Source organism: Homo sapiens, chromosome 8 (genome assembly GCF_000001405.40).
Source record: "Homo sapiens chromosome 8, GRCh38.p14 Primary Assembly".
NCBI lineage: Eukaryota > Metazoa > Chordata > Mammalia > Primates > Hominidae > Homo > Homo sapiens.
Window position 1 is genome coordinate 48,367,013 of NC_000008.11, and position 25,785 is coordinate 48,392,797.

At 44.2% G+C, this 25,785-nt stretch overlaps 1 long non-coding RNA gene and 1 pseudogene across 1 annotated transcript in view; both read left to right on the forward strand.

Moving 5' to 3' along the window:
* Positions 1-25,785, forward strand: part of LOC105375821 (uncharacterized) — a 127,805-nt gene that overhangs the window by 20,223 nt on the left and 81,797 nt on the right. The window lies entirely within an intron of this gene.
* Positions 17,533-18,171, forward strand: RPL29P19 (ribosomal protein L29 pseudogene 19; annotated as a pseudogene).

The window sequence follows — 25,785 nt, forward strand, 5'->3', positions numbered from 1 at the left end:
ACCTTCAATTTAGTAATTATAGTACTATTTAAGCTATCTGTTCATCTTGGCTGAGTTTTGGTAGTTAGAGTTTCCCAGGAATTGGTGATTTCTTCTAAGTTGTTTAATTTGTAAGTATAAAGTTGTTAGCAGTATTTCCTTGTTATACTGCAGAATCATTTGTAATTTCATTTGTTTGATTCCTGATATTGGTGATTTGTGTCTTCTCTTTTTATCTTTGTCAAAATGCTTAGGTTTGCCATTTTCACTATTTTTTCCCCAAAGAATCATTCTTCTCCATTAATTTCCTCTATTGTTCTTCTGCTTTCAATTTCATTGACTTCTGTTTTATCTTTATTATTTCTTTACTTTTGCTTGCTTTTGATATATTTTGCCTTGCTTTTTCCTATTTCATGAGATTTCAATCTAAGTTCAGCTTAGATTTCTGATTTGAGATCTCTCCATTCGTTAGAAGGACTTGGGGCTATAAATTTCCCTCTCAATACTACTCTAGCTCAATCCCCAACATTTTAATATGTTGTCTTTTAATTTTCATTCAGTTGTAATTGTTTTTAAAAATTTCTTATGGACCGCTTCTTTGATTCATGGATTATGTAAAAGTGTGTTATTTAATTTCCAAGTGTCTGGGAATTTCCCTTTTATCTTTCCGTTATTTGTTTCTAGTCTTATTTTATCATGGTAACAGAATGCACTCTGTATGACTCAATTATTTTACATTTAGTAAGATTTGTTTTATGACCCAACATTCTTAATAACATTATATGGGCACTTTAAAAGAATGTGCATTTTGACTGGACATGGTGGTTTACACCTGTAGTCCCAGCACTTTGAGAGGCCGAGGCAGATCATTTGAGGTCAGGAGTTCAAGACCAGCCTGGCCAACATGGTGAAACCTGTTTCTATTAAAAATACAAAAATTAGCTGGGCGTGGTGCACTGCACGAGATCGCACCACTGCACTCCAGCCTGGGTGATGGAGTGGGACACTGTCTCAAAAACAAGCAAACAAAAAAACCCAAAACAAACAAACAAAAAGAATGTGCATTTTGCTGTTCCTAGATGATGTCCTATAAATGTCAATTAAATCCTTTCAGTTGATGGTGATGTTGAGTTCCTGAGAGTGGGGTGTTTAGGCTCTCAACTACAATTCGTTTATTTCTCCTTTCAGTTCTGTTAGTTGAAGCTCTGGCATTTGATGCATGTAGATTTAGAATTGCTGTATATTCTTGGTAGGTTGATGTAATGTCCATCTTTTTAACGTTCTTTTCTCTGACATCTACTTTAACGTATCCACTTTTGCTTTTAAAAAATATGTCTGTATGATATAACTTTTTCATCTTTTTTACTATAAACCTACCTATGTTGTTTGCATTAAGGGAGTTTATATGTAGACAGCGTATATTTGGGTTGCATCTTTTTTAAATCCACTGTGCCAACCTGTGTGCTTTTATTGGTGTATTTAAGGCATTCGGATTTGAAGTAATTATTGATACAGTAGGGCTTAGGTCTGACTTTTTATTTTTTCTTTTCTGTTTGTTCTTTTTTTTCTCATTTTCTCTTTTTTATTTCTTGCTTTTCTGTGTGGTACTTGAACCTTTTGTTAGAATTCCATTTTGATTTCTTCATAGTGTTTTTGAGTATATTACTTTGTATAGCTTTTTTCTTGTTCTATATTACCATATACATACATAACTTATCACAGCTTACTGGTGTTGACGTTTGATCATTTTGAATAATGTGTAGACCTTACTTCCACATAGGTCCTTTACCCTCCCTAGTTTTTAAATATAAATTGTTGCTGGGTGTGGTGGCTCACGCCTGTAATCCCAGCACTTTGGGAGGCCGAGGCGGGCAGATCAACTTGAGACCATCCTGGCCAACATGGTGAAACCCCATCTCTACTAAAAATACAAAAATTAGCTGGGCATGGTGGCATGTACCTATAATCCCAGCTACTCGGGAGGCTGAGGCAGGAGAATTGCTTGAACCTGGGAGGCAGAGGTTGCAGTGAGCCAAGATGGTGCCAGTGCCCTCCAGCCTGGTGACAGAGTGAAACTTTGTCTCAAAAATAAATAAATAAATAAAAAATAAATAAATATAAATTGTCTTAAGTATTCCCTGCACATAGAATGAATACCACATCAGATTGTTTTATAAGTTTTGCTTCAACCATAAAATATCATTAAAGTAACTCATTAAATGATAGTCTATTGTCTTTATTTCTATTTTTTACCCTTTCCATTGTTCTCTTTCTTTTCTAAAATTTTCAGCCCTCTTTTGCTATAATTTTCTTTCTGTTTGGGAGTTTCATTTAGCCTGTAACAAATTTTCTTAGTTTTTCTCTGTGTGAGAATTTCCAGTTCACTCATTAAGGATAGTTTGTCCACGTATAGAATTTGCAGTTGAGAGCTCTTTTCTTTCAGCATGTGAAGACTGTTGTATTACTTTTTTCTGGCCTCCGTAGTTTCAGATGAGAAATCTGATGTCATATGAATTTCTGTTCTTTTATAAGTTATGTATTATTTCTCCTTGTTTGTTTTTAACTCTTTGATTTTTAGAAATTGATTATAATGTGTCTTTGTGTAGTTCTGGTTTATCATATTTATGTTTTTCTCAGCTTTTAAAATCTTTAGGCTTATGTATTTTATTAAATTTGGGAAGTTTTTGGTCTCATACTCCTTAGTCCTATCCTTGGGGAGTTCAATAATATGAATGGTAGATCTTTGGTTTTAAAGTCTGTTTTCTCTCTGTTGTTCAGACTGAGTAAATTCTATTGGTTTGTCTTCAAGTTCACTGAGTGTAGCATCCATCATCACTACTCTACTATTAAATTCGAGTACTTTAAAAACATTTTGGTTATTATATTTTTCAGTTTGTAATTTTTATTTGGTTCTTTTTTATAACTTCTTTTCTTTGCTGAAGTTTTTGTATTTGTTTTGAGATAATTTATAATTGATTGTTAAAACATTTCTGTGATGGCTAGTTTAAAATCCTTGTCCAATAACTCCAACTTCTAATTCATCTCTGTATTTGCATCAGTTAATTGTCTTTTCTCATTGAAGTTGTGTTCTATTGGTTTTTGGTATGATATGTGATTTTTGATTGCATCTTGAACATTTTGTTTATTATGTTAGGAGACTGTCATCTGATTGAAATCTGTTTTAGCAGGCAGTCACCCTGCTTAAGATTGGTATGTACACTGTGGCCTGCTATTGGCTCTAGTTTCATATCAGTTTAGTTTTCAAAATGCTTGCAATGCTTTTCTGGTCTGACTCATTCTTCTGGCACTTCTGGGGGCCCCTTTCAATCTCTGTTGGTGCTGCCCTGGAGAGATGGAAAGCGCCTCTCTGGGTTGCCTTGTATTGCTGGCTCACCTTCTGTTACTGGGGGATAGAAGCTCAGGAGCTGCTGGGCCTTGGTCTCCTTATGCAACTGGGCAGAGGGCAGGGCAATGCAGGGTGCTACTGATGCTGGCCTGGCAGGTTAAGTGGCCTACTGGTTCCCTGGTTCCGAGCAGAAGTCGAGGCTTCCCATCAGGACTCTCTTAGGCTTCCCCTTTCCCAGTTTTTTTTTTTTAATTTTTTTTTTTTTTTTTTTTGCTAGCGAGAGCAGGCTATAAAAGCTTTTTAATCTATGCCTGTTGGGGGTCCGAATTGCAGGCCTGTCATGGCTGATCCCTTAGGACACCTAGGGAACCTCCTGGTTTTTCCTTAAGTCTTAAAATCCCTAGTTAGTTCACTTTCTCCTTTTCAGGGTTTAGAGTTATTCTTTCTAGAATCATAGTCTGTTTTATAATTTGTGGGCTTATTTAGTTGCATTTAGAGGAGATCAGTAGGGAAAAGTGGTATATACCATCTTGTTCCAGATCCCAAAAGCTTAAATGGATTTTGAAATATAGACCAATTTTTCACACTTGCAATGAAGTGCAAGTATTGCTGCCACTACCATGGTTTGAGCTAAAAAATATATATATCCACTGTGTACTTGTATGGGAATGGAGAGCTAATTTCTTATGTTAAACATTAACAATACAGGAAGTGTATAAAGTATATTGACATTACTTTTGATTCAACAAGATTAGTTGTTGACAAAATGAGTTTATCACATTGTAAGTGTTATATATAAGTGCTGTTTTGTCACTTTAAGTTGAATTTGTTAAGAAACATGATCAAATCTGTAGCAAAAGCTAATTTCCAAAACCATTCAGTGTTTGATGATAGTGGTCAAGGGTGTTTCTACCAATCACTGAAAACACAAAAACCATTCCTAGCTCGGGCCATACTCCAACAGGCAGAGGCCTTCGTCTGCCTATTTCTGGTCTGCAACAACTTTTTCCAGTGCTATGCTGGTAAATGTTTAACAGTTAGGTCTCTGGGGAACAGAAGCCCTGGTGGGTAGGGCTTACTGGTTTCTGTGGTGGAAATACTTCCACCATGGCTGATCTTAAGCTGCCGACGCAATGTCACTGAATGAGGGATTGTGAGAGGTTGTGCACCATTGGCTCTCTCAAGCAGCTGTGGGCAGGCTTTAGGACACCATGGCCTGTGAAGACCTTAGGAGACCCTGTAAGGAAACTTCAGCTTCTATGCCACACACATTGAATTGCTGCAGTGGGCATCATATTTGGATAATTGTTCACCTAGAGCTCCCCCACCTTTTAAAAACATGCATACATACGGAAACGTTGCTTTCTGCACGATTTCATTTTAATGGAACAGAACAGGGGAAAAAATAAATCAGATTTTTACTTTTCTGCACTGGCCTGAAAAACTGGTTCAACCAATCCCACTCTTTTCTTTATAAGCAAATGTTTATTTTTGGAATGACAAGCCCTGCACCCTGTGTAGTAGTTAATACCATTCATTAAATGATGTTTCTTTATGTTATTTACAGAGGCATTAGCCTGGCTTGGGTTTCTGATTCTTGTTTTAAATATCTTTGTGGTGGCATTTTTTAATATATCAGTGATAAAGAAATCCGCTCCTTTCCAAGTTAAAGCTGTGTAGTCAGCTGTTTGCTTCCTTGCCCGTGAATAGACACTGTACTGCCACATGGCCAGCTGGGGCATTCTCTCGTGGAACATGTTTGCTATAACTGGCTCTCTCCAAATACTTCCCCATTCCTGAACTCTCCTGCCTCTGCCCTGTGGCCCATCACCTGCACCCCTCTATGGTACTGGCCACTGTGTCCAATACCCCAGAGGATAGGCCAAGTGGGGTATTGGACACTTCCCGTGCCTTCCTGCCCAAATCAAACTTACCTCTCTGGTGTCTCAGGCCACTGAGGCCTCCATGGCAGAGAAAGGATCTAGGACCAAGGGCCAAGGACAAAGAGGTCTCTGCCTCCAAGGTAACTGTATGATTTAAAAGAGAACCTCCGATCTTGGTGGTTTATCTTAGAGTGGCAGAATGTCTGGGACTTGACAGGTTAGTGACACAGCTCCTTCCATCAGGGTTCTCAAAGCAACTGGGACTTCGGTTGCCCACAAGGCTCATCTGAAGCTTGGTGCAAACAATTCAGGAAAGTGAGGGTGTCTTCCTTCACCTCGCTGAGGAACCGCCTGCCTCATGGGACCAAAACAGAGCTTGGTCCTGGAAACAAGGAAGTTGTCTCTCACCCATAGGCTGCCGCTCACCCAGAATGCTGCCAGCTCTTCTGTGTCATCTTTTTATTTTGGGGAATGGGGCAGAGCCCCATCTGTGGGACAGGGATTTACAAGCTGTCTACTCAACCCCTTTGTTATCCCCTCTTCAGAATGCTGAGGGGCTCTCTTTGGTGTCGATGGGGAGAGGGTGGTGGGCATGGCAGGGGGGCCTGGGAGTCCTCATGCAGGTGGCTGCCAGTGATGCACCATCCCACCCTGAGCTATGGCTACCTCCCTGGGGGACTGGCGATTGACATGTGTAATTGGAGGGTCCTTTATTGTTCTTGAGGGTGTATTGCCCAGAGAGAATCTTCCCAGAAAGAAGTGCCACACTCCTTGGGAAGGATCCGCGATCTAGTTCCTAATGATGTTAGTTCATCCCATTCTTTTCAGAAGACTATGGGGCAGAGGGAAGGGGAAGAGGGGCACAGAGGCGATGGGATGCCTGAGTCAAGTGCCGCTCAGAGCTGGCAGAGGACAGACAGGAAAGCTCTGGTTGGCTGATCCCATTGCTTCCGGCAAGCCCCTGGAGGAGCAAAAAGCTATTTTAGCAATAACTTCACTAGAGGACTACTGGATGGAGAGCACATTCACTAGGAGGATGGTAGCTGTACATCCACCCAGGGGACCCTTGTTTCAAAGGATGCAGCTTTCATTTAATTGAAACAGATCCTTGACTCAGTAGAATCACAGCTTCTTTCTCTAGCATTTACTACACTAAAGTATCAAATAGCAGAAAGGTAGAATGAGATTTAACGGTAAAAGAAAGAGAAATTTGTTTTCTGAGAGGCGTGCAATCACTGGTATTTTCAGCACCTTCTATGGTTTCTTTCATATAACTGTGTGTGGAGATTTCTTATTCAGAGCAATGATTCTGAGGCATTGCAGGATCCTAATTTATCAAGGGAAAGCTGAATCATACTCAGAGTACTGTGCTTGGGAAAGAGAGCTGACTTTCATGAGAGGCTCCTTTGAGGTGGGAGCTTTGCTTGAAGTTCTCATTTAATCTTCACTATCTCAGTCAGCTCAGGCTGCCATAACAAAATACCATGAACTGCGTGGCTTACACAACAGACATTTATTTCTCAGAGTTCTGGAGGCTCAGAAGTCCAACCAAGATCAAGATGCTGACAGATGTGGTGTCTGGCGGGGGCCCCTTCCTGCCTCGTGGCCACCTTCTTGCTGGGTCCTCCTATGGCAGAAAGCAAGTGAGCTCTGGTCTCTCTTGGTATGAGGCCACCAGCCTCTCCCTATCAGGACTCCTCCACGATGACCTCATTTAACCTTCATTACTTCCTAAAAGCCCTGTCTTCAAATATAGTTGCAGACAGGGGGTCAAGGCTTCAATATATGAATTTTGGGGAATACAATTCAGTCTCTAGCTCTCACCTTGGAGGTAAACTATATTAAAAAAAGTTGCAGAAGAGGAAACCAGGGCCCAGAGAGATGAAGCAGTGTGCTCAGCCTCCCATCACAAAGTGGTGGCTGGGCTGGCTCTGGCCAGAGCACATTCTTTCAGGGTACCCTGCTGTGCCCAGACATGGGGCTGCTTCCGAAGGATGGGCATGGTGAGGGCTGCCTTCAGGGTGCCACTCACTTTGCTCTAACAAAAGCTGGAACCAGCCTGAAAGCATGAATGCCCCTACACTTAATAGAGGGCAGGCACAATTTTCTTCTCCTCAATGGAGTTTGGTGAGTCGAAAGGCAAAATTCTGAAAACACTAGTAGTTCTCTTTGAAAAACAAGGCCCAATTATGCGTTCCATCCATTACTAAGGTGGGTCCTTAGAAGGAGAGATGCCAAGATGCTCACCACATACCCCATGTCTTAGTCCCCTTGTGCAGCTATTATAAAGTGCCTGAGACTGGGTAACATATAAAGACGAGAAATTTATTTCACATCCTAATTCTAGAGACTGGGAAGTCCATGAGCAAAGTATGAGCTTTGGTGTTTGGTGAGAGCAGCTCTCTGCTTCCAGGATGGCCTCTTGCTGCTGTGTCCTCACAACATGGAAGGGGTGGAAGAGTAGGAGGTGACCTCTCTCTGAAGCCTCTTTTATAAGGATACGAGTTCCATTCATGACAATGCAGCCCTCATGACTGAATCACCTCCCCAAAGCCCCCACCTCCTAATACTACCATCATGGGGGATAAGATTCAACATGAATTTTTGAGGGGACACACATTCAAACCCTAACACTGCACAATAAGAAATTCCCACTTAAATGAATGTAAATGACTTCAAAGGAAAGCATGCAGTTGCTTTAGCATTAGCATTTATGGAGTTATTTTATTTATATTTTTAATTTTTGAGACAGGGTTTTTCTCTGTAGCCCAGGCTGGATTGCAGTGGTATGATCACTGCTCACTGCAGCCACAAATTCCTGGGCTCAAGTGATCCTCCCAAGTATCTGGGACCACAAGTGTGTATACACTCGGCTAATTAAAAAAATTTTTTTTGTAGAGGCATAGCCTCACTATGTTGCCCAGGCTTATCTAGAACTCCTGGCCTCAAGTGATCCTCCTGCCTTGGCCTCCCAAAGTGCTGGGATTGACAGGTGTGAGCCACCACACCCAGCCTGGAATTATTTTCTAAAAACATATAATCCTCTCATGAATTCTGAGAGGTGATTAATATCTCCACTTTCCTGAGAGAAAGCAGAGGCTCCCCCAGGTGAATGACATGAACAGTCATAAGAACTAGTGATGGAGCCAGGGTGCCAACACAGGTCACCAACTGGAAGGCGCTTACCTGTGCTGTGTTATTCTCTAGCCTCTCAGAGCATCAAGGGTGTCAGAGTGCAGCTGTCAAAACATCACCCACACTGATTCTGCCTTTACTTTTAGTCATTTGTTTACTTCCCTCATTAAGCGTGTATGAAGCACCTATGGTGTATGGTGCCGTTCTGGGCACCGGAGATAAGGGAGTGAGTAGAACAGTGCTGTCACCTGATTTCTGGTGTGATTTCCTTCCAGGAGGCAGGCATGGCAGGGGCCTGGTCACGTGAGCCTTTGGAGCAGGCCCAGTGTGGCTATTTTCCCTATTTTTTAAAATTTTATCTTATTCATTTCATATATTTTAGAACAAATGCCCAAAACCAGGCTGCTTGAGTAGATAGTGCCACAGAAGAAGCTAATTATAAAGACTGAGTGGTCATACATTTGCAGAATTTGCTGCTGTAATCAAAAAAATGTAGCTAATCTGACACACATTTCAGGATGTACATAGTCATTATTGTACAGCATGGTAACCAGGCCTGAGTGATCAGCAGTTAACCAGAATCACTATAATCAGTATGGCTTTTACAATCATCTTCCAAATGTTTTTCTTTACCTCATTAGGTTTCTAGCACTCAGATCTGGTGTCACCCTAGCTTTGCTGGTACAGTGTGTGGCTCACACATGGACATGCGGTATGAAAAGGCCCAGCCCTTAATCTCTGCTCTGTCAGCTGGCCAGACAGAGCCTGGTGAACCTACTCTGGGCCCTGCTCCACCTCCCCCTGTACCCCATGATTCCCCATGTTCTTCCCCCGACCATCTAGATAGCCTTCAAGGCCTCATCCCAAGGTCGATGCTGCAGGAAGGAGAGGCATCTGGGACTGTTGACCTAGTGCCACCCTCTCCATCTTTGGGAGAGTCCTGGGCAGGGGCTGGGGTGAGAGGAGTGCTGCTCCAGCATCCTCGGCTCTCAGATCCAGGCACACAGAAATCTTGAAGTGATTTTAGGTGTAAGGAGGATTTATCCAAAAATCCTCCCCTCAAACCAGACATTCCTTTAACAAGACACAAAGCTTCCATTTAATGATTGGAGATAAAAATCTGAAGATGCAAATGCCTGGAGAATTACCACACTGGCTGGAAAGGGGTTGAGTTCCAGGATAAATATGTTGCTTTGATTTAGAGAGGAGTTAGGAAGCAGAAGGCCCCGGGAGACAGGAGAGGGCAGGGGACGTGCTTCTGAGGAGGGAGGGAGGAGGATGCAACTTGGAGGCCCTGAGGTGAATGTCTTGGCTCTGCCTCAGGTGCCTGCCTTTCTGGATTTGTGTTCTAGGACGACGGGAGTTGGGGAAATGTCTGTTCTTTGGGTCCTGTGATGGCGGTCACCTCCAGCCTGAGATCACTGCGAAAAAGGATTCTTCAGGGAAAAAGATGACACGCATCATTAAAGTGAGGCTAGCTTGGTCAGGCATTGCATTTCAGGGCAATTCTTGGATGCTGGGGGTGGAGTTACAGGCATAAGGCTAAAGGTTGAATGACTTCAAGCCACCCATATAAAACAATCCTTGCCAGAGATAGACCCCCCCCGACCCCAGCCCTCCAACCTGATGGATAGGAGTGGGTTGGGGCAGCTTCCCTGGTGGTGGCTCTGCAAGCCCAGGACACCAGGGCGCCAGCCTGGGCCATCCACATCCCTGTGGGGCCTGAGGGAAGCTGGCACCCTGGCCAGGGTCACCCGGGACAACCTGCCCTTGGATTTGCTAGGAATGTGAGAGTGATGAGAGCCAAACTGTAAGTTTCTAAGGAACCTGGAGAAGCAAACCCAGAGGCCCCTGGTTCGCTTTCCTCTAATCAGGGCCCTATCTGTGTAACAGAGTTACTGACTTCAGGATTAGGCTGATTACTGCGGGTGGCTACACACCCAAAAAGAAACAAAAGACAGATGGCTCACTGGGAGTCAGAGTTTTTTCTCACACAATATTTAATGTCAAAGAAAGTAGAGACAAAAAAAATGTAGGATCCAGATTCATCTGGCATTGCACATTCTCTTGTCATGATTGTTTCGGTTTCCTGGATTTCACTGGGAGGCTGTTCTTATTTGGGACAGGACGCTAAATGCTGTCATTGAAGACACATTTCACTACAAAATGCTGTTCCTAAGCACAAAGAAAAACACTGGTCTCTCTAACAAGCTGAAGTTCTCGGAGCCGTTGAACCCAGCTTCTCCCACCGTGTAGAACGGCATGTGCTTCTTATAAAATTGTGCCTATTATCAAGCTTATAAATGAACAAATAAATATCACATTCATTTATGTAACATATGAATACATACATCAAATATTTTATATCTGATAAGGAGTTTTCTCCATTAGAAAGAGGGTGGAGGCTGGTCTACACACCAGGGCTTTCAGTCTGTAGTTGAGAATTCCATTCGTGGCCTAGATCCTGACTGCAGGCTACTGGCTGGCCTCTTCTAGGCCCCTTTCTCCATCGGTGGAGGGAGCAGCAGTCATGTGTCCAGTGGTAGGGGCCTGCAGAGTCATCTTGTGCATATTCCTTCATGCGGCTCTTGAGTTAGGCCATATGTAGATTTAGGATCTGCAGGGGGAGTGGGCCTGTGTGGTCTGAGAAAGCCTCCATCTCACCTCAAGTGTGCACACCCCATTTACTTACCTGTTCCCAGAGTCAGGCCTGTTGGGAAGGAGAACAACATTGCTTGACATGAATTTGATTAGCTGGGCCTGTAGATGATTCATAAATGAACACGTCTCTACACTTTCCATCAGCTTGCACATCTCCCCATCAGTCCCACCTGCAAACCATTGCCATGGTGTTTCTTCCCAGTCATGCTGCCACAAGCGGGACCCTCTCTCCCAGTGCTGCAGGCTTCCTCGGCCCTCCACCAGTCTACACCATCAACTCACATCTCAAGGGAAATGGTAACACTTCTATTTAGCACTCACAACTTAAACCACTTGCTGTTCCAAATGCTTCTCAAATATTCACTCATTCCATGTGCACAAAAACTCTATAATGCGGATGCCATTATCATCTTCTTTTTGCAGATAAGCGAAGGGGAACTCTGAGAGCTCTACCGTTTTCCGTAGGTCCCACCACTCATCAGAGTCACAGAGCAAAGCTGCATACCTGGGTGCCAGACGCCAGCCACTCTCCACCGGCACTGCGTTGGGGGTGAGCTTCTTAACAGGTGGTGCAAACATGAATGCTCTCCACCTGCGGGCCCCAGCTACACCTCAGAGCAATCTCGGAGCCTTTATAAATAAAAATGTCTCAAGTCCTCACTCGATTTGGTAGATTAGGGAGTCTCTTCAAAATTCCTTCAGTGCTTTGAAGGTGAAGCCAGGTTTGGGGACCCTATCTCATGCAGCATAATACTGCATGCACCCAAGGCATGTGGTGAATGTTCACTGAGAGAAATGCACAGTGTATGTATACAAGTGTGTGTGTACGCATGTGGTGTGTGTGCACCTGTGCTGTCTGTGTATGCTTGTGCTGTGTGTATACACTTGTGCTATGTGTATGTGTGCTGTGTGTGTACATGTGTGGTGTGTGTATGCATGCCATTTGTGTATGCACGTGCTGTGTGTGTACATGTGTGGTGTGTGTATGCATGCCATTTGTGTATGCACGTGCTGTGTATACACACGGGTGCTGTATGCGTGCAGTGTGTGTACACATACATGCATGTGGGCCTGTGGCTCACTCAGCAGAGGAAGCCTGACCACCAGTGGCCTCAGATGGATACGAGTCTGTGGGTATGGAAGACAAGCCACAGAGGGTTGACAGCTGTCACTGGCTGGTCTTAACGATATGGAAAAGTTGACATGGTGGGTTCCTACTCCTGAATTTTAGGAAAACTTAATTTAAATCAAAACTAACTAATCAAAACATCTAAGTAGAAGACAAATTTCTTCCAAAGCTCATGCTTCCAATCTTGTGGCTTTCTTAGTTATGGTATTCCACCTGCAGGTGAGAATGTGACAGGCTGAGGGGGACTCCCACCCCCACGACCACGGTCCTGGGGAAGACACTGACATCCACAACCCAGAGGCGCTTGGCTGGCCGAGCCCCAGAGGCTGGAGAGGGAGGCCTCAGAACCGGCAGGTCAACTGCCTCACTGCTGTGTCAAATCAGGATTCAAACACTTTTAATCGGTGCACCGCTTTGCTGGTGGCCCCGGTAGGTGCTCTGTCTGGCCTCTTAGCAGGACTGGCCCTCCCCAGGGAGTGAGGGACTCCACCGCTCTCCCCCACCTATGCCCCTTGCCAGAACCGAGGAAGGGCATTTTAATATAAATTCCTGCTCCCTGCAAGCCTCCAAAGCTCACATCGTTTTCTTTCACATCAGAGCGAAAAAACTGCAAGTGAAAAATCCCAGGGTAGCAACTCTAAGGGATTAATTTCCCCTCTCTTTTAGCCTTCCCACCTCCTCTAAGGGTTAAGAATGTGGAGGAAGAATCGCTAGACTTGGTGTCTGTGCTTGGTGGGAACTATTAAATTACGGCGGGATGTTTCTGATTAGAGCGAAAGCCGTGCCTGTGCGCGGCCCCGGGGGCCACATGTGCCCGGCCGCCTGCCCCAGCCCCACACTTGATCGTGGGGCCCCTCCGTGGCACCGACGCCGTGTGGGTTTTTTATGTTGAGCGCAAGGATGGGAGCTCGCTCGTGCTGGCAAGGGAGAAGGAAACAGGCAATAAAACGGAGAGCTGAGCGGCTTACTGGAGCCAGGACGCTGGGGTCGGCTTAATTGCTCTGAAATGAAAAAGATTCGGGGTTTTCGTGAAATCCCATAGGCACACTTGCCAAGCCTCAAATATTAGGTTGAATTACAGTTTCTAATCCCTCCCCTCCCCTAGTCCTGTGCCTTATTTCTCCTGGCGGTTTTGTCCCCAGCTTCGAGGACTGAGAGGGGAAAGGTTGACAAGAGCGGGGCTGGGCTCCGGCATGGGCGCAAAAACACCAGTGCGGAGGAGTTCTCGGGACCCCCCGGGGCTGCGGGGCCTTGCGGGGACAGCCCCAGGCCCGGAGCTGCAGAAACACCCAGACCCCGCGCCTCCCGGAACCACGCGTCTCTGTGCACAGACATTCCTGGGGGCAGGCTCCTGTCCTTTAACACAGTCTCAAAGGAGTCTTCAAAAACAAAAAGTTTACAAGCACTGATAGGGAAAACAGAAGGATGATAACACCAAGAGGGACTTTCCCGGGAGAGGACGGCTTCCAGGGACTGAGAAAGGATGGGCAAGTGGGCGGGGCCCGGCGCCGTGCGGGCAGGGCTGGCGCCGGGAGTCCCCAGACTCCCCCGCAGTGGGAAGCACCTCTCCCATTCACGCCGGGCAGGACACCTGGCCGGGCGGGGGAGGCAGCGCAAGGGCCGGCCGGGGAGTACGGGACTCGAGCCGGGGACCTGAGGCAGGAGCCAAGCATCGTCGCAGGGCAACCAGCAGAACGGAGAGGGAGGCGCGGGGGCGAAGGCTGGCGGGAGCCGCGCTGAGGGCAGGAGCCCGGAGCCCCCTAGGGCAGCGCCGATCCGCCCGCCCCGTCCCGCCGAGCTGGGCCTCCGTCTGTGGCCTGCGCAGCCAGGGTCGCCAAGCCGCCTGGAATGGCTCAGGCTTCCAAAAGGAGCAGGCGCCAAAAAGAGCTTTGCCCGCCGGGTGATGGAGATCATGAAACTTTCCAAAGTGACTCTGAGAGCTGAGTATGTTCCTTTCTACTTAGGATGGGAAAAATTCAGTAAGTTACAATTTTCAATAAAATTCTCAGAAGAGTGATAGGAAGACGGTGAGAATATGGACGACATGGTGTGAAGTCAAGGAAGTTTTGGAGGCCGTCCATTTTAATATGTAAGCAAAATAAAGCAGGTCCGTGTTTAAGCTGTCACGTTATCCTCAGTACCAATGAAGAGGTGCTGGGTGAGTCTTTTTCTTTTCTTTTTTCTTTTCTTTCTTTCTTTCTTTCTTTGTTTCTTTCTTTCTTTCCTTTCTTTCCTTTCTTTCTCTTTCTTTCCTTCTTCCTTCCTTCCTTCCTTTTTCTTTCTCTTCTTTCCTCCTTTCTTCCTTTCTCTCTCCTCCTCCTCCTTCTTTTTTCTTTTTTGAGATAGGCCCTCACTCTGTGGCTCAGGCTGGAGTGCAGTGGCGTAAACAGGGCTCTCACTGCAGCCTTGAACTCCCAGGGTCAAGTGATCCTCTGTCCTCCCCCTCCCCAGTAGCTGGGCCTACAGGCACATGCCACCAAGCCCTGCTAATTTGTAAATTTTTGTTGCCATGTTTCCCAGGCTGGTCTCAAACTCCTGAACTCAAGCGATCCTCCCACGTTGCCCTACGAAAGTGCTGGGATTACAGGTGTGAAGCACCTCTCCTTGGCCAGTGCTGGGTTTTCTGGTTCCTGGTTTACAGAACGGGTGACTGAGGGTGAGCTGAATTCGGAGACCCGCTCATCCCTCACACTCACACCAGGGACGGAGCTCACAGTGTCTTCCCTGACAGGACATTTATATGCATTGCTTTTAGGCGGGGGATCTGTGACCCTGTCTCAGGCACACCTGCCTGAGCCACAGCCGGTGATTCCAGTCTCCTCACCTCCTGATTCTTCTTGCCTCAGCACCCCGTGGTCTACCGTGAGAACAGCAGCGGGTCTTCAGGGCAAGAAGAAGCCAATGGGAGGTAGAGAAGCAGGGAAGGCAAGTGGACAGTAGGGTGCAGAAGGAATTCGGTTTCCCGAGCCCTTGGAGGAGTGAATCATCCACCCCAATGGCCTCTGCCCAGACCATTGTGTGGCATGGGGAAGCAACTTTCCACACAGCTTCCTCTGGGAGAAGCAGGTTTGTAGGCTGCTCTTCAGAAGAACAGCATCCACTGGGGGGCTCTGTGGGCCTCGACCTCATCACTGTCCACCTGGTGACAAGGGCTTACTGCTCCTCCCTCTGCAGCTGGGTGGAGGGAAGAAACAGAGAAGTCAAGCCCACTCTTGCAGACACATCCGGGCTGATCCCAAGTGTCATTTGATTGCAGCCTCACAGAAACATTCCCAGATGCTAATTATTACTCTCATTCTTTTTTTCTGAGATGGAGTTTCACTCTTGTTGCCCAAGCTGGAGTGCAATGGCGCCATCTCAGCTCACTGCAACCTGTGCCTCCCAGGTTCAAGCAATTATCCTGCCTCAGCCTCCCGACTAACTGGGATTACAGGCACACGCCACCACGCCCAGCTAATTTTTTGTATTTGTAGTAGAAACGGGGTTTCACCATGTTAGCCAGGCTGGTCTCGAACTCCTGACCTCAGGTGATCTGCCCGCCTCAGCCTCCTAAAGTGCTGAGATTACAGGCGTGAGCCACCATGCCCGGCCTCTCATTTTTTTAAATGAGGAAATGGAAGTCCAGAAATACATTAGTTAACAGTAGCTGTTGTAAAAAATAAACCCCCAAATGTATACAGATTTAAAAATGACAGGCATGGCACAGTGGCTCATGCCTGTAATCCCAGCACTTTGGGAAGCTGAGGCAGGTGAATCACGAGGTCAAGAGATCGGAGACCATCCTGGCCAACATGGTGAAACTCCGTCTCTACTAAAAATACAAAAAAATAGCTGGGTGTGGTGGTGCACGCCTATAGTCCCAGCTACTCTGGAAGCTGAAAAATCACTTGAACTCGGGAGGCAGAGGTTGCAGTGAGCCGAGATTGCGCCACTGCACTCCAGCCTGGCGACAGAGCGAGACTCAGTCTCAAAAAAAAAAAAAAAAAAAAAAAAAAACCCACAAAGGTTTATTTCTCATTCATTTAAATCTCAATGGGTGTTCATTCTCAACTCTCCTCCAGGGCACAGCTCAGGGATGTGGTTCTATGCTCAGGACTTGTCATTTTCCATAAATTTCTCGTGCTTTGTCCCCATGGTGAAGTTGATTTAAATTTGGTGAGAATGGCATTTTAGAACTAGAGTGAACCATAGCAACAAATGGTCCAAGCCACATATTTTATTGAATAAGAAACTGAGACTTAAAGAGAATGGGGGGGTTAACCAAAATCTCAAAATTAGGTAATATAAAAAGTAGGTCATGCATTAGGTTTTACAAATGCATACAGATAAGGCTTTTTTCCTCCTCAATAAATTAAAAAAACAAAGCACAGATTCAACTCAGCTCCCATGTGCAGATATAAAGTGTGGGGTTCAAAGTTCTTCTACAAACCTTGGTTTGAATATTTTGGCAAGGAAAAAAGAAATGCATGTGGCTCTGGTAGCAATGTCTTTTGAGGAGTAATATTAGGCTTCTTTTGCAGCCCCCCACTTAAATTTCCACCTTTCTTTCAAAATATTTGTTCCTCTCCATTGGCTAACGATGTGTTCCCAATAGGCGGCAAGTGAGGTTTCCTGATTAACCATCAAAGCGGTGAGCTTGATTATGTCTTATTTTTGGTATTCCCCACATTCCCAATAAACAATGTGGTGTGAGGTTAGGACAGGAAGCGAGGAAACAGACGGTCTGCAGACCCTCATAGGGCTCTTGAGTGTGGCAGGTGGGACATTGCTTGTAGGATTAGGATGCAAAGGGCTTTCTATAAGAGAAGGGGAAACGGAGAACAATGGAGAAAGGTGAGTCAAGACAGTTGTAGTGCAGATAGCACATGTAGGGAAGGGAGGAAGGCGTGATGGCTATATTTCATCTTTTGATTCACTTCTCTCTGAAGCTGAGGAATGAAATCAGCTCTCTCCTTAGGAGATGAAAATCCAGCTTCACCATCTCCACTGCAGAATATCTGCTTGTCTCATTAAGTGGACTTCCATATGTGGTGTGGATGCCATGAACTGCACAGGGCCAGGGGCTGATCAGAACAAAGGTCAGATTCTAATCTTCAAGCATCATATTTATCTTTTCACCACACTCTTAACTTCCACTTCTACCACCAAATAAAGGGTAAAAGAAAGAACAACAACAAGAAAAACTATCAACAGCAGTAGGGTGTGATCTGCAATAAAGCCCTGAAAACCTTCATTTGCTGATATCAATTCATTCAGGACAAAAACCCTCACTGCTCCTTCCTGATTGGCCTTGAGATCACGCAGGCAGCCCTGACGAAACCCGAACTAGTGGGGTCAGGAGACACACACAATATGTTGAGAAGATTGTTATCAAAATGCAATGTATGGGTGGCCCCTTTCTCTTTCGGTTCTAGGCGCTTCAGGAGCCGCGGCTTAAGGTGCAGACATGGCCAAGTCTAAGACCCATGCCACACACAACCAGTCCCGAAAATGGCACAGAAATGGTATGAAGAAACCCCGATGACAAAGATACAAATCTCTTAAGGAGGTGGACCCCAAGTTCCCGAGGAACATACGCTTTGCCAAGAGGCACAAGAAGGGCCTAAAGAAGATGCAGGCCAACAATGCCAAGGCCATGAGCATAGGTGCCAAGGCTATCAAGGCCCTCGTAAAGCCCAAGGAGGTTAAGCCCAAGATCTCAAAGGGTGTCAGCCGCAAGCTCGATCGATTGCCTACGTTGCCCACTCCAAGCTTGGGAAGCATGGTCATGCCTGCATGGCCAAGAGGCTCAGGCTGTGCCGGCCAAAGGCCAAGGCCAAGCCCAAGGATCAAACCAAGGCCGACGCTGCAGCTCCAGCTTCAGTTCCAGCTCAGGCTCCCAAAGGTGCCCAGGCCCCTACAAAGGCTTCAGAGTAGGTATCTCTGTCTGCCAATGTGAGGATAGAAGGACTGGTGCGACCCCTGCCCCGACCCGGGCTGCCATCTGCATGGGACTGGGGTCCTCTTGTGCTACTTGTGCAAATAAACCGGAGGCAGGAAAAAAAAAAGACAAAATGCGTTGTATGCTTATTTTATTTGTACATACAATAAGTCGAGGTTTGCATAATGATTGTTAAAAGTGAGAGAAAAAATTGTAAAAAAAAATAAGTCATTGGTTTTGAACAATATGTTTCATTCCTGTTTAGTTGCTTGTGGTTGTCAAATCTACAAAAGTGCAAAACTTTAAAAAACCCTTGTTGAAATCTCTTGGAAAACATACAATCTTCCAGAAATTCCTCTGAGTTTTCCTTTAAGTTCGACAACAAATGGAAAGAAGTGGATTGTTGTCCTTCTACAAACGGTAACAAAGGTGGGGGTGTAAGTCTGTAGTTTGAAGAATTTCATTCTTATCAATTGTGTAGAACAAAGTTGAAATAAGTTACATTAATTTCACGTAAATTAGTTTCCTGAGCTCTTTTAACGTCTTGAGTGATTTTTTTTTTGTATTTTGTAATTTTTTTCCTTTTGTTTATCTCTATTTCCTCAGTTTTCTTTTTTAATTATACTTCTGGGATACATGTGCAGAACGTGCAGGTTTGTTACATAGGTATACACGTGCCATGGTGGTTTGCTGCACCCATCAAATCATCTACATTAGGTATTTCCCCTAATGCTATCTCTCCCCTAGCCCTCCACCCCGACAGGCCCCAGTGTGTGATGTTCCCCTCCTTTTGTCCATGCGTTATCATTGTTCAACTCCCACTTATGAATGAGAACATGCAGTGTTTGGTTTTCTGTTCCTGTGTTAGTTTGCTGAGAATGATGGTTTCCAGCTTCATCCATGTCCCTGCAAAGGACGTGATCGCATTCCTTTTTATGGCTGCATAGTATTCCATGGTGTATATGTGCCACATTTTCTTTATCCAGTCTATCATTGATGGGCATTTGGGTTGGTTCTAAGTCCTTGCTATTGTGAATAGTGCCGCAATAAACATACGTGTGCATGTGTCTTTATAGTAGAATGATTTATAACCCTTTGGACATATACCCAATAATGGGACTGCTGAGTCAAATGGCATTTTGGTTCTAGATCTTTAAGGAATTGTCACACTGTCTTCCACAATGGTTGAACTAATTTACACTCTCACCAACAGTGTAAAAGCTTTCCTGTTTCTCCACATCCTCTCCAGCATCTGTTGTTTCCTGATGTTGTTTCCTGTTGTTTTTAATGATGGCCATTCTAACTGGCGTGAGATGGTATCTCATTGTGGTTTTGATTTACATTTCTTTAATGACCAGTGATGATGAGCTTTTTTTTCATATGTTTATTGGCTGCATAAATGTCTTCTTTTGAGAAGTGTCTGTTCATATGCTTCACCCACTTTTTGATGGGATTGTTTGTTTTTCTCTTGGAAATGTGTTTAAGTTTCTTGTAGTTTCTGGATACTAGCTCTTTGTCAGATGGATAGATTGTAGAAATTTTCTCACATTCTGAGATTGTAGATGTGTGGCATTATTTCTGAGGCCTCTGTTCTGTTCCATTGGTTTATATATCTGTTTTGGTACCAGTACCATGCTGTTTTGGTTACTGTAGCCTTATAGTATAGTTTGAAGTCAGGCAGCATGATGCCGCCAGCTTTGTTCTTTTTGCTTAGGATTGTCTTGGCCATTTGGGCTCGTTTTTGGTTCCATATGAAATTTAAAATAGTTTTTCTAATTCTGTGAAGAAAGTCAATGGTAGCTTGATAGGAATAGCATTGAATCTACAAATTACTTTGGGCAGTATGGCCATTTTCACGATATTGATTCTTCCCATCGATGAGCATGGAATGTTTTTTCCATTTGTTTGTGACCTCTCTTATTTCCTTCAGCAGTGGTTTGTAGTCCTCCTTGAAGAGGTCCTTCAAATCCCTTGTAAGTTATATTCCTAGGTATTTTATTCTATTTGTAGCAGTTGTGAATAGGAGTGCACTCATGATTTGGCTCTCTATTATTGGTGTATAGAAATGCTTGTGATTTTTGCACATTGATTTTTTATCCTGAGACTGCTGAAGTTGCTTATCAGCTTAAGGAGACATTGGGCTGAGACAATGGGGTTTTCTGAATATATAATCATATCATCTTCAAACAGAGACAATTTGACTTCCTCTCTTCCTATTTTAATACCCTTTATTTTTTTTCTCTTCCCTGATTACCCTGGCAATATTATGTTGAATAGGAGTGGTGAGAGAGGGCATCCTTGTCTTGTGCCAGTTTTCAAAGGGAATGCTTCCAGTTTTTGTCCATTCAGTATGATATTGGCTGTGGGTTTGTCATAAATAGCTCTTAGTATTTTGAGATACTTTCCATCAATACCCAGTTTATTGAGAGTTTTTAGTATGAATGGGTGTTGAGTTTTATCAAAGGCCTTTTCTGCATCTACTGAGATAATCATGTGGTTTTTTGTCATTGGCTCTGTTTATGTGATGGATTATGTTTATTGATTTGCATATGTTGAACCAGCCTTGCATCCCAGGGATGAAGCCGACTTGATCATGGTTGATAAGCTTTTTGATGTGCTGCTGGATTCAGTTTGTCAGTATTTTATTGAGGATTTTTGCAACGATGTTCATCAGGGATATTGGCCTGAAATTTTCTTTTTTTGTTGTGTCTCTGCCAGGTTTCGGTGTTAGGATGAAGTTGGCCTCATAAAATGAGTTAGGGAGGATTCCCTCTTTTTCTATTGTTTAGAATAGTTTTAGAAGGAATGGTACCAGCTCCTTTTTGTACCCCTGGTAAAATTTCGCTGTGAATCCTTCCGGTCCTGGGCGTTTTTTAGTTGGTAGGCTATTAATTACTGCTTCAATTTCAGAACTTATTATTGGTTTATTCAGGGATTTGACTTCTTCCTGGCTTAGTCTTGGGAGGGTGTATGTGTTCAGGAATTTATCCATTTCTTCTAGATTTTCTAGTTTATTTGTGAAGAGGTGTGCATTGTATTCTCTGATAGTAGTTTGTATTTCTGTGGGATCAGTGTGATATCCCCTTTATCATTTTTTATTGTGTCTAATTCTTCTCTCTTTTCTTCTTCATTAGTCTGGCTAGTGGTCTATTTTGTCAATCTTTTCAAAAACCCAGTTCCTGGATTCATTGATTTTTTGAAGGGTTTTTTATGTCTCTATCTCCTTTAGTTGTGCTCTGATCTTAGTTATTTCTTGTCTCCTGCTAGCTTTTGAATTTGTTTGTTCTTGCTTCCCTAGTTCTTTTTTTTTTTTTTGAGATGGAGTCTTGCCCTGTCACCCAGGCTGGAGTGCTGTGGCACGACCTGGGCTCACTGCAACCTCTGCCTCCTGGGTTCAAGCAATTCTCCTGCCTCAGCCTCTCAAGGAGCTGGGACTATAGGTGCATGCCACCATGCCCAGCTAATTTTTTTGTATTTTTAGTAGACATGGGGTTTCACCATGTTAGCCAGAATGGTCTTGATCTCCTGACCTCAGGATCCGCCTGCCTCGGCCTCCCAAAGTGCTGGGATTACAGGCCTGAACCACCACACCCAACCTCTTCTCTGGTTCTTTAATTGTGATGTTAGAGTGTTGATTTTATATCTTTCCTGCTTTCTGATGTGAGCATTTAGTGCTATAAATTTCCCTCTAAACACTGCTTTAGCTGTGTCCCAGAGATTCTGGTACATTGTATCTTTGTTCTCACTGGTTTCAAATAACTTATTTATTTTTGCCTTAATTTCATTATTTACCCTGTAGTCATTCAGGAGCAGGTTGTTCAGTTTCCATGTAGTAGTTGTGCGGTTTTGAGTGATTTTCTTAATCCTGAGTCCCAATTTGATTGCACTGTGGTGTGAGAGACTGTTTGTTATGATTTCCATTCTTTTGCATTTGCTAAGGAGTGTTTTACTTCTAATTATGTGGTCAATTTTAGAATAAGTGCTATGTGTTGCTGAGAAGAATGTGTATTCTGTTTATTTGGGGTGGAGAGTTCTGTAGATGTCTATTAGGTCAGCTTGGTCCAGAGCTGAGTTCAAGTCCTGAATATCCTTGTTAATTTTCTGTCTCATTGATCTGTCTAATATTGACAGTGGGGTGTTAAAGTCTCTCACTATTATTGTGTGGGACTCTAAATCTCTTTGTAAGTCTCTAAGAACTTGCTTTATGAATCTGGGTGCTCCCGTATTGGGTGCATATATATTTAAGATAGTTAGCTCTTCTTGTTGCATTGATCCCTTTACCATTATGTAGTGCCCTTCTTCTTTTTTATTTTTTTTTATCTTTGTTGGTTTTTTAAACCAACTTTTTAAGTTTGTTTTATCAGAGACTAGGATTGCAACCCTGCTTTTTTTTGCTTTCCATTTGCTTGGTAAATATTCCTTCATCCCTTTATTTTGAGCCTATGTATGTCTTCGCACGTGAGATGGGTCTCCTGAATACAGCACACTGATGGATCCTGACTCTTTATCCAATTTGCCAGTCTGTGTCTTTTAATTGGGCATTTAGCCTGTTTACATTTAAGGTTAAAATTGTTATATGTGAATCTGATCCTGTCATTATGATGCTAGCTGGTTATTTTGCCCATTAATTGATGCAGTTTTCTTCATAGTGTTGACATTCTTTACAATTGGGTATGTTTTTGCAGTGGTTGGTACCAATTTTTCCTTTCCATATTTAGTGTTTCCTTCAGGAGTTCTTGTAAGGCAGGTCTGGTTTGAGTGATTTTAGTAGTGGAATTCTGGCAAAAAATGCACAAAGCATGGCTAATTTGGAGAAATCTCAAGTACAATGGAATTTTTAGACATCTCTTTTTAAAACAGTACTGGCCTGGAATATCTGAGGGGTTTCATTACAATGTTCGGAACAGCTTCCTGGTAAAGGCAACAGCTCTGCTGCCCATGAAGTTGGAGAGAAAAATATGTAGAGCAGATAAGGTAAAAGACATCTTTCTTCTCAATTACAAAAGTTTGGTGACCAACTGCCTTGTTTTACTTTTTAAAATTTCGTTTTATTTTCCATTTTTATTTGGTTTGTAATACCATTTTCCTTGGGCTTATTACGGTAAATGTACAATACTTCTGGCTTCTTTGGAAAATAAAATGGAAAACCCTCAGTTTCTAGACAGGAAAGAAGGGCCAGCAGCATAAGGCTGAAGTGCTGTTGGCTCATTGTGGTGACTACAGACTGTGGGCACCCCGGCCACAGGTTCCAGCAGGGTACATCCTCTGGCTTCACACTCTTCCCTTCTCTACCACCTCCTCCTCTCTCCCCACACTTCCGCAAACTGTGCAAGCTTCAAAGGAATCTCCTTGTAGCTGAGTGATTAAGCCTTGGAATCTTGACACTGGGATTAAATTTGGATGTTCTGGAGAAGACTTTTGGACACATTCAGAAAAGAGCAGGCAGCAAACCCCAGCTGCATCTAGAACAGCTGCGTTGGGTGAGGGTTCCTGGGATGTTCTCTAATTGGTCTGTTTTACATGTTGTCACAGACTTGGAATCAGCAAAACATCCCCTTTAAAACAGATAGTCTTCTGGCTGCTATGCTGGTTCTTATATTAAAACTTTTTTGTATTGAAAAAACCCCTCTTTTTAAACAAGTAAAAGGCTATGTATTTTCTCAAGTGCTGCAAGCAAATAGCTAGGGTGTTGGGAATATAAAGCACAAAGAAGTCATGTTTATTATAAGAACTTTAAAAAAAGCAGGAGATGCTCTGAGGGCTGGTATTTTACCTTCCACCTCCCACCACTTCTCTCTTTCTCTTATAAAAAGGCTGCTATGGCGACCGACCTCCTGAGTATGGTTAAAAAAAAAAGATCCTTTTGCCTTATGTTCCAGTAGTTTTTGAACCTTTGGAATCTCACAAGAGGTGTCAAATTTAGCTGACTCAAGCTCTTCATCTGAATAGAAATAGAAACCTTTGCGAGGCTGAGGCAGGAGGATCGCTTGAGCTCAGGAGATAGAATCCAGCCTGGGCAACATAGCAAGGCCCCATCTATAAAAAAGAGAAATAAAAAAACTAGCCAGACACGATGGTGTGCACCTGTAGTCCCAGCTACTTAAAAGGCTGAGGTGGGGTAATCGCTGGAGCCTGGAAGGTCGAGGCTGCAGGGAGCCATGATTGCACCACTGCACTCCAGCCTGGGCAACAGAGAGATATCTTGTCCCAAAAACAAAAACCTAGAAATAGAAGCCTAGAGGGGAACTGAGGTGCTGCATGCTGGGGGTCCCCTCCCACAGGAAGGACCAGAGCAGGACAGCTTCAAGGATCTGCTGCAAAGCCCCGTGCTCCTCAGAGTCATGCTTTGTCTCAAGAGTGGAGTAGAAAGAGCTTTGTGTAGATATGCTTGTCTCATTTCGTAATAATAATACAACCCGAAATGAACTTTTTATTTAGTGACTGAATGCTTTAACCTATATTATTTTTTCCTTTTCCTCATCCCCTCTCTTACCAGCTGTCATTTATTCATTCAGTTCTTAATGTGTTCTATCCTGTGACTATTGGGATTAAGAAGGTCAATGAGATATAATTCCTATCTTCAAGGAATTTATCCTTAATGTAGTCACTTGAAAGTTCAGATATTATGCTTCTGACTTCTAATTCCAATGAGGTGATGAGACATTATTTGTATGCTATCCCTGGACCCATTCTGCACATGCAGATTGCTATGGTGTGGTAAATATAAGCTGCCTTTTGCAGGGGCTTTCGCTATGTACAGTTTTGTTCATTGCACTCTTGCTGGTCTTAAGAGTTTGCTCAGGAAGGCCCTTTGCTGTTTCCACTACTGGGTCTGGCATTTCTTGTTGTCACCAGAGCCATAGAAGGCATGCTGCTTTTCCTCAGAGTCTACCTTGTGGGCTGGGAGCCTGCACGTAAATGCAGGAAACCATTGTCCATGCCACAAAAGCTCCGGCACACTGGAGGAGCTGGTGCACAAACCTACCAGAGGCTATGCATTCACAAGGAAGCCACCTGGCCTCAGAGGCGGTTAGTGAGGCTCTGGGTCCTAGGTGGGCTGGGGAAGTGCAGTGCCAGAGACAGTGCAGAACACATGGCCGTTCCATGCCAGCAGGTCTTCCCAGAGGCCCAGTGGAGAGGAGTGGGAGTTCGTGCAGGACCCAGGAGGGCAGGGCTTTGTGATAGGCAGGTGCAGCCAGGAAAGCAGTGGCTCTCTGGGGCTCTGGGCTAGGGTTCCGTCCTCTGTACCAGAGCTGCCTCTGGAGCTGCCCTAAAGCCAGTCTCAAAGAATGGCTGCGGCTGTGAGGTGGTCTAAGTGAGTCTAATAGTGGGAAGACAGCCAGTCCCTTAGAGGTACCTCTGAGATGCTAGGAAAATTGCCCTTGGAATCTGACACATGCCCCTGTACCCAGAAGGAAGAAACAACTCTTGCTTTTGTTTTTAAGAGCATCTATCTCCCTGCTGACCTGAGCATGCTTCACTGCATCTGCGCAGAGGCCAAGAAAACCCCAAATAAGAAAGTCCCTGTAGCTGTGCTAGCCTGGGAAGTCAGGCACTGGGCTGGGCTCAGTGTTGCCTGCGGCAGGCAGCTTATCAGCTCACAGCCAGAGCTTGGGACTCTTCATCCATTGCCCTACACAGGTCTGATTTTAGTAGAAATTTGCTCTTTAAGACAGAGGCATTCTTATGATTATGCAGAATATAAAACTGCCTTTCAGGCAGCAGATAGGAC